Source organism: Homo sapiens, chromosome 15, assembly GCF_000001405.40.
Source record: "Homo sapiens chromosome 15, GRCh38.p14 Primary Assembly".
NCBI lineage: Eukaryota > Metazoa > Chordata > Mammalia > Primates > Hominidae > Homo > Homo sapiens.
Genome location: NC_000015.10, coordinates 65,857,016 through 65,869,417, shown reverse-complemented (window position 1 = coordinate 65,869,417; position 12,402 = coordinate 65,857,016). Strand labels below are relative to the sequence as shown.

Genomic DNA, 12,402 nt, shown 5'->3' with positions numbered 1-12,402 from the left:
TTCCGGGGGCGGCGCCCCGCCCCTGAGCCCAACAAGGGCGGTGTGCGCGAGAGTCGAGATGCGTGGGGCTTCAAGCTTTAGTCGCTAAAGGAGGCTCAAAGGGGAAACTGAGTCCTGGAACTCCTAGCTACCATAGTCTTAGTGGCCGCTTGCTCATTTCTCGAGCTACCGTGCCGGAAGCGGCTCGCTGGAACCAGGCGGGACCGCCTGTGAGTGGTGGGTTTGTGGATGGGGGCGGGGTTCTCTGAGGATTAGACAGCCGAAGGCAGCTACACATGCGTGGCGGTTCCATGGTGTAATGGTTAGCACTCTGGACTCTGAATCCAGCGATCCGAGTTCAAATCTCGGTGGAACCTGCATTGGTTTTTGTTTTTTTAATCTTGACAACATCTTTAATTCACTTTTTTGGTCACTAAGTAATTGAACAACTATGACACATCTTAAGATGGAGATGTAAAATTTAATCCTTGCCTATGAAGACCTCACAAATTTCCCACTGCATTTCAGGTGCTATCTGCTACCTGGCGGGGGGTTGTCTTAATGAGCTTCTTCACTGCCTTTTTTTTAACCCTGGGCTTTCAAGCCTTGATTCAAAAGCTTCAGTGAAACTTGAAAATTCCTTTTGCTGGAATTTTCTACCTCCAGCTTCATGCACGGGTAGGCGCTTGTCACTCACTCCTCTCCGGAAATCTCGCAATCTATCTCATTTTCATTTAGAGTACTTCGCCCACCCTCCTCATCAAGATTCATCAAGAACTTGAGTCCTATTTGTAGGCCTCTAATCTAAGTCCGTTTACATAAGTATTTCATTTAACATGCCAAGCAAAGGATGGTAATTTCCATTTTAGCGGAAGTTTGGATACTAAGACTCAAGTGATTTGCCAGATATCATGTCGCAGGGCCTCCCTGTATTTGAAGAGAATTTTGTCATTCCAGAAAAGCCTTTATCCAATTATTGTCACACCTCCTACCTCCTATATGCAAACTCTCGATTTAGACTTGTGGGCAAGTATGCCTATAACAAGCAGAATAATGCCCCCTGCCAATGATGTCCACTTCCCAATTCCTGGAGACTGAATAGGTTAGGTTACATGGCAAAGGGGAATTGAGGTTACAGATGAAATTAAGGTTGCTTATCAGCTGACATTAAATTAGGGATATTATCCTGGATTAGTTGGGTGGGCCCAGTGTTGTCATAAGGTCCTTAAAAGTAGAAAATGGGCTGGGCACGGTGGCTCAGGCCTTAATTCCAGCACTTTGGGAGGCCAAGGTGGGTGGATCACCTGAGGTCAAGAGTTCAAGACCAGCCTGGCCAACAAGGTGAAACCCTGTCGCTACTAAAATACAAAAAATTAGTCTGGCGTGGTGGTGGGTGCCTGTAGTCCCAGCTACTCTGGAGGCTTAGGCATGAGAATTGCTGGAACCCGGGAAGCGGAGGTTGCAGTGAGCTGATACCACGCCACTGCACTCCAGCCTGGGCAACAGAGAGAGACTCGTTCTCAAAAAAAAAAAAAAAAAAGTGGAAAATGGAGGCAGAAGAGGTCAGAGTGATGTGACTTGAAAAGACCTCAATCTGCCCTTGCTGGCTTTGAAGATGGAGGAAAGGGCCCAGGAGCCTAGGAATCTGGAGGCTTCTAGAAGCTGGGAAAGGCATGGAAACAGATTCTTCCATAAGGCCCCCAGAAGGAACACAGCCCTGCTGACAACTTGATTTTAGCCCAATGAGACACTTGTCAGACCTGTGACCTACAGAACTTTAAGCAATAAATTTGTGTTGTTTTATGTCACCAAGTTTGTGGTAATTTGTTATAGAAGCAATAGAAAACAAATACAGTGCCAATTTCCGTGCTTTCTCTACTGCTATAAAGTGATAGTAAGTTTATCTAAGGTCCTGTAATCCCAGCTACTCAGGAGGCTGAGGCAGGAGAATTGCTTGAACCAAGGAGATGGAGGTTGCAGAGAGCCGAGATTGCGCCACTGCACTCCAGCCTGGTGACAGAGTAAGACTCCTCAAAAAAAAAAAAAAGAACACTAATGTTTAATTTAGTCTCAAGCATGACTAATAAAAATGGTGTGTTGGTTAATACTGAGTGTCAGCTTGATTGAATTGAAGGATCCAAAGTATTGATCCTGGTTGTGTCTGTGAGGGTGTTCCCAAAGCAGAAACAGTTGAGTCAATGGGCTGGGAAAGGCAGACCCACCCTTAATCCGGGTGGGCACCATCTAATCAGCTGCCAGCGAATATAAAGCAGGCAGAAAAATATGAAAAGGCTAAACTGGCTTAGCCTCCCAGCCTACATCTTTCTCCCGTGCTGGATGTTTCCTGCCCTCGAACATTGGACTGCAAGTTCTTCAGCTTTGAGACTCGCACTGGCTTCCTTGCCTCTCAGCTTGCAGAAGGCCTATTGTAGGACCTTGTGATCATGTGACTTAATACTACTTAATAAATTGCCCTTTATATATGTGTCTATCCTATTAGTTCTGTTCCTCTAGAGAACCCTGACTAGTACAGTTGGTAAGAAAATCAAAAGGAACTCTCTAGTAAAAAGCCTGGAATTATAAATTTAGAAATGCCTAGCCTTAGACTATGGGGGAGAAGCAAGACCTGAAATATATCTCACCCTCCACATCTGGGGAGGTAACTTTACATGTTTGTTAAAAACAAAGTGAGGACTGATAAGTCTGTGTTTATACTTCAGCTCAGCCATTCACTAAAGCTGTGTCAATTTCAATAATTTAATCCTGCTGAATCCCAGTTTCTTACCTGCAAAATGGGGACAAACAGGAAGAAGGAATTAAGTAACAATGTATAGCTGTTAATATCATGCATGGCATATAATAAATATTTATGAATGCATTGATTTTCTTTTCTCTTTTTTTTTGAGTCAGGGTCTTGCTGCGTCACCCAGGCTGGAGTGCAGTAGTGCGATGTCAGCTCACGGCAACCTCCATATGCTGGGCTCAAGCAATTCTCCCACCTCCACCTCCACCTCCCAAGCAGCTGGGACTACAGGTGTGCGCCATCGCACCTGGCTAATTTTTGTATTATTTGTAGAGATGGGGTTTTGCCATCTTTGCCCAGGCTGTTCTTGAACTCCTGAGCTCAAGCGATCCTCCCACCTCAGCCTCCAAAAGTGCTGAGATTACAGGAATAAGCCACTGCACCTGGCCAAATGCAATGATTTTCAACGGGTCAATTTGGTCCCCAGAGACATTTGATAATATCTGGAGACATTTTTAGTGTCACTACTTGGGAGTGCTACTGGTATCTAGTAGAGACCAGGGATACTGCTAAACGTTCTACAACACACAGGATAGCACTCCCATCAAAAAGAATTATCTGGCCCAAAATGTTAATAGTTACCAAAGTTGAGAACCATGAGTTATTATTTTAAGAATTAGCCAGATGCGAGGCCAGAGCCTATGATGGGAAAGGGGCAGGGTGCCATGATCCTCACCTCCCTGTCCTAGCTCATTTGAAGAAAGCGAACTCACTCCCTAGGTCTCAGGAAGAATGCCCAGGGACAGACGTTCCTCCCGTCAGTATCCCATAAAGCAGAGCCTGGGGGCCACCGGCCTGACACAGAAAGCTTCCATAGTGGCTTCCATTTGTTAAATAAACCTATCACTCTTCTATTTCTTTCTTTTTTCTTATTTTTTTCAAGATGGAGTCTCTCTTTATCGCCCAGGCTGGAGTGCAGTGGTACTAACTCGGCTCACTGCAACCTCTGCCTGCCAGGTTCAAGTGATTATCCTGCCTCAGCCTTCTGAGTAGCTGGCATTACAGGCATGCACCACCACACCGGGCTAATTTTTGTATTTTTGTAGAGACAGGGTTTCACCATGTTGGCCAGGCTGATCTCAAACTCCTGACCTCAAGTGATCCACCCACCTCGGCCTCCCAAAGTGCTGAGATTACAGGTGTGAGCCACCGCGCCCGGCCTCAGTGTTCTATTTCTTAACTCAAAGGATTTTTACAGGGTTGTTCCCTTTATAACTGTGTGTTAAACTCTACATACCAGTTTTATGCACTTTTGTAATAGTATTAGGTTTATTTCACAATACAATTTTTAGATGGGGCATGGTGGCTTGTGCCTGGGAGGCCAAGGTAGGAGTATCACTTGATGCCAGGAGTTCAAGACCAGCCTAGGCAACCTAGCGAGACCCCCCCTATCTCTACAAAAAATGGAGAAATTAGCCAGACATGATGGCACCTATGTACCTATAGTCCCAGCTACTCAGGAGGCTGAGGTGGGAGGATCACTTGAGCCGAGGAGTTCAAGGTTACAATGAGCCATGATCATACCACCACACTGCAACCTGGGCAACAGAGCAAGACTCTGTCTCCAAAAAAAAAACAAAAATGTTTTTGAGAGAGAAAAGTTGACAAACCTTATGAAGTGAAATTTGGCCCAGCATGGTGGCTCCTGTCTGTAATCCCAGCAATTTGGGAGGCCAAGGCAGGCAGATTGCCTAAGCTCAGGAGTTTGAGACCTGCCTGGGCAACATGGCAAAATCCCATCTCTACTAAAAATAAGAAAAAATAGCCAAGTATGGTTGCGTTCACCTGTAGTCTCAGCTGCTTGGGAGGCTGAGGTAGGAGAATAGCCTGAGCCCAGGGAAGTCAAGGCTGCAGTGAGCTGTGATTGCATGACTGCACTCCAGCCTGGGCAACAGAGCGAGACCCTGTCTCCAATAAAATAAAAATAAGTAAAAAATTTAAAAAGAGGTGAAATTTGTCTTTTGTCTTTTTTATCTTTTATATTATATAGAATATATATTAGAATCTATAATACCATATTATATATATTAGAATCTATATAATACCATATTATATATATTAGAATCTATATATACCATATTATATATATTAGAATCTATATATACCATATTATATATATTAGAATCTATATATACCATATTATATATATTAGAATCTATATAACACCATATTATATATATTAGAATCTATATAACACCATATTATATATTAGAATCTATATAACACCATATTATATATATCAGAATCTATATAACACCATATTATATATATCAGAATCTATATAACACCATATTATATATATCAGAATCTATATAACACCATATTATATATATCAGAATCTATATAACACCATATTATATATATCAGAATCTATATAACACCATATTATATATATCAGAATCTATATAACACCATATTATATATATCAGAATCTATATAACACCATATTATATATATCAGAATCTATATAACACCATATTATATATATCAGAATCTATATAACACCATATTATATAAGAATCTATATAATACCATATTATATATATCAGAATCTATATAATACCATATTATATATATTAGAATCTATATAATACCATATTATATATAGTATATTATGAGGTGACAAATTGTGTACATGATCAGGAAAATTCTCAGCTTTGATTGGCTGGGTTTTTGTTTGTTTGTTTGAGACAGTCTTGCTCTGTCACCCCAGGCTGGAGTGCAGTGGAGTGATCTTGGCTCACTGCAACCTCTGCCTCTCAGGTTCAAGCGATTCTCCTGCCTCAGCCTCCCGAGTAGCTGGAATTACAGGCACATGCTACCACGCCCAGCTAATTTTTGTATTTTTAGTAGAGACAGGGTTTCGCCATGTTGACCAGGCTGGTCTCGACCTCTTGACCTCTGGTGATCCACCTGTCTCACCCTCCCAAAGTGCTGGGATTACAGGCATGAGCCACCACACCTGGCCTGATTATTTGTTTGTAGTAACTAAAGTATCAGCTAGTCTTAAAGAAAAAAGTGATAAAATATACATATTTACAAATAAATGTACTAGGCCAGGTGTGGTGGCTTAAGCCTGCGATCCCAGCACATTGGGAGGCCAAAGCAGGAGGATTGCTTGAGGTCTGGAGTTCGAGACCCCTGGCCAACACGGCAAAACCCCATCACTACTAAAAATACAAAAATTAGCTGATGTGATGGCGCATGCCTGTGATCCCAGCTACTCAGGTGGCTGAGGCACGAGAATTGCTTGAACACAGGAGGCAGAGGTTGCAGTCAGCCAAGATCGCACCACTGCACTCTAGCCTGGGTGACAGAGCGAGACCATCTCAAAAGAAAAGAAAAGAGGTAGTGGTGATGGTTGCACAGCATTGCAAATGTACCTAATGTCACTGAATTATACACTTAAATGGCTAAAATGGTAAATTTTGTTATGTGTATTTTACCACAAAGAAAACTAAAAGGAACTTAAATCTCAGATTTTATCATAATAAAGACAAAAAACAGAAGGTTAGGATGAAGGGGCTGATAGTGGTGCAAGACTGGGACAGGCTCCTGTGAGGTCCTTAGTCTTCACAAGATCCCTGTCTCTCTGGGGGCTGTTTGCCTCTTTCCTGACAGTCTCCCAGAATTCCTGTGGACTGGCTGGCTTTCAAGACCAAAATCAGCTTGTTCACCCTTGACCACACCCAGCCCAGAAAAGACACCTCCATTGGCCTCTGAAATCCCACCACAGAGTCATTTCTTTAGCTACGTACTGATTGCCAGCTCCTCCCCTTTCCCCACACCCCCACCATGTGCCTCTGTATATGGCTGTGTGTTTACTACTGCCTCCTAGAGGAGTGAACTGGCCTTGGCTCTGTGGGACTCCATCATGTTCCTGCATTCTCCCATGTGGATAAGAACTATGCTCACTCAAAGGAGGAGAAAAAAACTAGTAGAGTCTCATTTTTGTTTCTCAATCATTTATTTAGAAAATACTAGACCTTTTGGTAATGTAAAAACAAAAATACCACAATATTAAATTGTCAGGTGAGCAAAAAGAAGATAAAGCTGATACTTCTTAGGCTAGGTGTGGTGGCTCACACCTGTAATCCCAACACTTTGGGAGGCCAAGGTGGGAGGATCACCTGAGGTCAGGAGTTCAAGACCAGCCTGGTCAACATGGGTAAACCCCGTCTCTACTAAAAATACAACAATTAGCAGGCATGGTGGTGGGCACCTGTAATCCTAGGTACTCGGGAGGCTGAGGCAGGAGAATCACTTGAACCCGAGCAGCGGAGGTTGCAGTGAGCCAAGATTGCGCCAGGGCACTCCAGCCTGGGCAACAGAGTGAGACTCCTTCTCAAAAAAAAAAAAGAAATAAAAAAGATAAAGATACAAAGATGACACTTCTAGATGTGGAGCCAAGGCTTAGAACAGGGGAATAATTACTGTGCAACTTCATCGATCCACCCCTAGGTATTTACCCAAAAGAAATGAAAGTATATACCCACACAAAAAGCTGTATGCAAATGTTCATAGCAGACTTTTTTAAAAAAATTTTTTTTTGAGACAGAGTATCATTCTGTCACCCAGGCTGGAGTGCAGTGGTACAATCTCAGCTCACCGAAGCCTCTGCCTCCTGTGTTCAAGCGATTCTCGGATAGCAGTCTTATTTGCAATAGAAAAAACTGAAAGCCCAAATGTCCATAAACAGGTGAATGGGGAAGCAAATTTTGGTAAATCCACACAATAGACTATTATTCATTAACAAAAAAGAATCAACTACTGATAAACATAACAATGTGAATGAATCTGAAAATAATCATGCTGAGTGAAAGAAGCCAGAGGGGGAAAAAAGAGTACATATTGTATTATTTCATTTATATAAAGTCTACAGAATGCAAACTGACTTATGGTGACAGAAAGCAGAAAGCAGATTGGTAGTTGTCTGGGGACAGAGTAGAGAAAGACAGGAAGGATTACAAGGTATGAAGACTTTTTGGAGACAGGGTCTGGGTTTGTTGCCCAGGCTGGAGTCAGCGGCAAGATCACGATTCAATGCAGCCTTGACCTCCCAGTCTCAAGTGATCCTCCCCACACCAGCCTCCTAAGTATCTGGGACTACAGGCACATGCCACCCCACCCAGATAATTTTTTTGTAATGTTTGTAGAGACAGGGGTCTCCCTCTATTGCTCAGCCTTGTCTCAAACTCCTGGGCTCAAGCGATCTGCCCGCCTCAGCCTCCCAAAGTGCTGGGATTACAGGTGTGAGCCACTGAGCCCAGCTGACACTTGCAGGGATAATGGATATGTTCATTATCTTTATTGTGCTAATGGTTTCACAGGTGTATACATATCTCAAAACTCATCAAATTTCACATTTTAAACAGGTGCTCTGTATTGTTTTCTGGAAAGAGAGAGCAAGATCAAGAAAGAAAAAGGAGAGCACAAAAACAGAAAGTCCTCCCTCATCTTTGATATTCTTGAATGCAAGATTGGAATACTCAGATGCCAAAAATCATTATCACTACTCTCATACACACTAACCACTAAGTCACCTACATGGTTCCTTTCCTTTTTTTTTTTTTTTTTTTTTTTTTTGAGATGGAGTCTTGTTCTGTCACCCAGGCTGGAGTGCAGTGGCACGATCTCGGCTCACAGCAACCTCCGCCACCCGGGTTCAAGTAATTCTCCTGCCTCAGCCTCCCGAGTTGCTGGGATTACAGGCACGTGCCACACCGCCCAGCTAATTTTTTGTATTTTTAGTAAAGACGGGGTTTCACTGTGTTAGCCAGGATGGTCTCGATCTCCTGACCTTGTGATCCACCTGCCTTGGCCTCCCAAAGTGCTGGGATTACAGGCATGAGCCACTGTGCCCAGCCCATGGTTCCTTTCTTTACAATATCTCTTGGTATGTTTCTTTCCATTCCCATAGCCACCACTCTGGTGTGATTTCCTTCTCCACTGTTTGGTTACAACCTAACCCTACCCTCAGTTTTCTCCCACTTCAATCCAACATGCTGGTGGCTGCCAGAATAATCTTAACAAATGACACCTCCAACTGCATGATTCCTATTATTCAGAGCCATCATTGAAATATCTATGTAAGTCCACACATGCCTGAAAACAAAAGGTTATAAAAATAAAATGTTAGCAGTGGTTATTTCTGCAGAATAGGATTACAGGTGATTTTTATTATTTTGTTTATCTGTTTTCTATATTTTATAGGAGATTTTAAAATAAAAAAAGCTTTACTGGTCTTGCTTGTTACAAAAGGAATGAACAGTCATTGTAAAATAGTCAAATAACACAAACAATATAGAAGTACAGTAAACTTGGAAAGTGAAGTTTGTTTCCTCCTGGCTGCCAACATTGTGGTTTCCTCCCCAGCACCACCCCACCCCTTCCATCCAGAAAACAGCCAGGCAGTTTGGGTGGGATTATCCCTACCCACAGCTCCAGGAGTGGCTTCTGGAATTATCTAACCCTGAGGTTCTCAATCCTAACATCCAAACCCTGATATTGTAACAAACGTTTCATAACACTGTCTTTACCATCCTGACATCAATAGATCTTATCTTATGATATACCTTCCTGCACACATAATTTTAAGTTGGGAGTCAAGCTTGCTGATATTTTAGTGTTTTCTTTATTTTATATATGTGTATGTGTGTCTTTGTATGCCCATGCAGGCATGTACATATCATACATCCTATTTTAGTTGTTGAGTACATATTACACTTAGAAAAAGTTACATAGGAAAACACCAGAGTTGAAGAAAGATGTCAACCATCATTTTAGAGAACCTTTTGAGTGCTGCATAGGTGAGTGCACACACTTTAAAAATCAATATAATGCTATAAGTATAAAGGATAAATAAGAAAATAATGCATTATAAAAAGATATGTGTTTCAATAAGTAAATGCTTGATGGCGGGCGTGGTGGCTCACACCTGTAATCCCAGCACTTTGGGAGGCTGAGGCAGGAGGATCAGTTGAGCCCAGCCTGGGCTATGGTAGTAAGACCTCGTCTCTACAAAAAAAAAAAAAAAAAAAAAAGTAAATGCTTGAGCACAAGTGTAATAGAAGACATAATGAAGTAATTAGATACTTGCACCTAACAGAATCACCATTTATGTAACAATGTTTATTGAGTACCTACTATGTGCTGGGCACTGTTTACTAGGGATACAGACAGAAATCCTTGCCTTAGACTGGGCACAGTGGCTCATGCCTGTAATCTCAGCACTTTGAGAGGCCAAGGTGGGTGGATCGCTTGAGCTCAGGAGTTCGAGACCAGCCTGGGCAACATGGCGAGACTCTGGCCCTGCTAAAAATACAAAAAAATAGCCGGGCATCGTGGTGCATCCCTGTGGCCCCAGCTACTCGGGTGGCTGAGGTAGGAGGATCGCTTGAGCCTTGGGGGCAAAGGTTGCAATGAGCAAGTTCACACCACTGCACTCCAGCTGCGCCACAGAGTGAGACCATGTCAAAAAAAAAAACAAAAAAAGAAAGCGGGGGGGAGGGTTAGAGAGAGAAAGAAAGAAAGAGAAAGAAAGAGAAAGAGGGAGAGAAGAGAGAGAAAGAGGGAGAGAAGAGAGAGAGAAAAGAAGGAAGGAAGGAAGGAAGGAAGGAAATTAAGGAAGGAAGAAAAGAAAGAAAAAGAAATCCTTGCCTCATGGAGCAAACATTCTAGCAGGGTGGTGTGGTTATAGACCACAATCAACATAATACATAAGTAAGTTATGTATTACATTAGAAGATGACAACTGTTCTGATCTTTTTTTTTTTTTTTTTTTGAGGTGGAGTCTTGCTCTGTCACCCAGGCTGGAGTACAGTGTACAATGGTGCTATCTCGGCTCACTGGAACCTCCACCTCCCCAGTTCAAGTGATTCTCCCGCCTCAGCCTCCCGTGTAGCTGGGATTACAGGTGCGTGCCACCATGCCCGGCTAATTTTTGTGTTTTTGTAGAGATGGGGTTTCACCTTGTTGGCCAGGCTGGTCTTGAACTCCTGACCTCAGGTGATCCGCCCACCTCAGCCTCCCAAAGTGCTGGGATTACAGGCCTGAGCCACCACGCCCGGCCCTGTTATGACTTTTTTAAAGTAGAACAGGGTAAAAGGAAATAAGAGTTCAGAGCAGTAGAGAGGTGGGTAGTGACTTGCAGTTCAAAATAGAGTAGTCAAGGCAGCCTCACTAGAAGGTACATTTGAGCAAAGATTTAAAGGAGGTGAGGGAATGAATCACACCGATTATCTAGGGGAAAAATACGCAGGCAGGTGGAATAGCTAATGTGAAGACCCTAAGGCAGAAGCTTGTCTAGCAAGTGCGTGGTCTGTAAACGGACCAGGGAGGTGGATTAGAGCAGGTACTATAAATAAAAGCAGAAGTAGGAGATGGGTCAGAGAAGTAAAGAAGCCAGATCTTGAAGGGCCTCATGGGCCACTGTAAGGCTTGTACTCTGAGTAAACTGGTGAAACATGAGAAGGTTTTGAGCAGAGGAGTGACATGATCTGACCTACATTTTAAAAGGAAAAATCTGGCTGCTCTGTTGAAAACATTGTAGGAGGAGAAGGATGGAAGCAGGGAGACCAGTTGGGAGGTTGTTATAAGAATCCAAGCAAGAAATCAATGCAACAGCTTCAAATGCAGACTAATATTCACTAGTGTATTTTGTAGACGTCATTGATTGTAGGATACATCCTGATTTCAGAGATGTTAAAATATGCAGTGTGAATTGCATTATGCAGTGTGAATTGCAATATGCAGGGCTAAATCAGTGACTCAAATACCACAAGTGTTGGTTGTTGAAGACATGATTTTCTGAAACAGTGAACAACTTTTGGTAAAGTTCCAAATGTAGCTAAATACTATTTTCTGTCAATTTACTCATTAGCCTCATATCTGGATATTCTGTTTATATTAAAACCATGCAAAAATAGTTTATATTTATATATAAAATGGAATGAGAGGCTAGGCTCAAATTATTACACACAAGTTTTTAAAAATCTACATTAATGTCGAGCAGGGCATTAAAAGTTGTGCGGAATGTGGGAAAATTCTGTAATGTATTTACCCATACATTATCAGAAATCTAATGCCCCTGGCCCACATTCTGTAAATGACCAATTATTGTGACAGCCAAAATTTCTCCCCAAGGCTAGGTGCAGTGCTCACGCCTACAATTCCAGCACTTTGGGAGGCCGAGGCGGGCGGATCACTGGAGGTCAGGAGTTCGAGACTAGCCTGGCCAACATGGTGAAACCCCGTCTCCACTAAAAATACAAAAACTAGCTAGGCATGGTGTTGCGTGCCTGTCATCCCAGCTACTCGGGGGACGAGGCAGAGGTTGCATTGAGCCAAGATGGCGCCACTGCACTCCAGCATGGGTGACAAGAGTGAAACTCTGTCTCAAAAAAAAAAAAAAAAGTTTCTTCCCAAATTTCCAAAGAGAGCCCTAGAATGTGATGCCAGCAGAGTGCATGATCCAGAAACATACTATTATGGTCCAACCAGAGAGAAGCCTGGGTGGGCTGCATGATGGGTGAAGGGAGACACCCAGCACCTTAGTGACACCTGTAGCCTCGCCTCAATGTGCTGCAACTCTCCCACCACCAGGGGGAGCTAGCCTTAGG

At 42.9% G+C, this 12,402-nt stretch overlaps 1 long non-coding RNA gene and 1 other non-coding gene across 4 annotated transcripts in view, besides 5 other annotated features; one reads left to right on the top strand and one right to left on the bottom strand.

Annotated features, from left to right (window-relative positions):
• Nucleotides 54-113: an enhancer, noted in NCBI's record as "active region_9609". NCBI's record gives its function as "activates an Ori minimal core promoter by ATAC-STARR-seq in GM12878 lymphoblastoid cells {active_cell/tissue: GM12878}" and the evidence as "EXISTENCE:reporter gene assay evidence [ECO:0000049][PMID:35858748]".
• On the top strand, nt 285-356 carry TRQ-CTG1-4 (tRNA-Gln (anticodon CTG) 1-4). The gene has a single exon. It is a non-coding gene; the product is annotated as a tRNA-Gln (tRNA).
• Nucleotides 6,079-6,128: a silencer, noted in NCBI's record as "silent region_6561". NCBI's record gives its function as "represses an Ori minimal core promoter by ATAC-STARR-seq in GM12878 lymphoblastoid cells {active_cell/tissue: GM12878}" and the evidence as "EXISTENCE:reporter gene assay evidence [ECO:0000049][PMID:35858748]".
• LOC105370866 (uncharacterized) overlaps nt 8,935-12,402 on the bottom strand; it is a 68,011-nt gene continuing 64,543 nt past the window's right edge. For 2 of the 3 annotated variants that reach the window (XR_932373.2, XR_932371.2), the window contains exon 4: nt 9,761-9,799. This is a non-coding gene — a long non-coding RNA (uncharacterized LOC105370866). Of the gene's footprint in view, nt 9,800-12,402 lie in introns of all 3 variants that reach the window. The other variant, XR_932372.2, reaches the window with a different exon arrangement.
• Nucleotides 11,191-11,270: an enhancer, noted in NCBI's record as "active region_9608". NCBI's record gives its function as "activates an Ori minimal core promoter by ATAC-STARR-seq in GM12878 lymphoblastoid cells {active_cell/tissue: GM12878}" and the evidence as "EXISTENCE:reporter gene assay evidence [ECO:0000049][PMID:35858748]".
• Nucleotides 11,331-11,420: an enhancer, noted in NCBI's record as "active region_9607". NCBI's record gives its function as "activates an Ori minimal core promoter by ATAC-STARR-seq in GM12878 lymphoblastoid cells {active_cell/tissue: GM12878}" and the evidence as "EXISTENCE:reporter gene assay evidence [ECO:0000049][PMID:35858748]".
• Nucleotides 12,302-12,391: a silencer, noted in NCBI's record as "silent region_6560". NCBI's record gives its function as "represses an Ori minimal core promoter by ATAC-STARR-seq in GM12878 lymphoblastoid cells {active_cell/tissue: GM12878}" and the evidence as "EXISTENCE:reporter gene assay evidence [ECO:0000049][PMID:35858748]".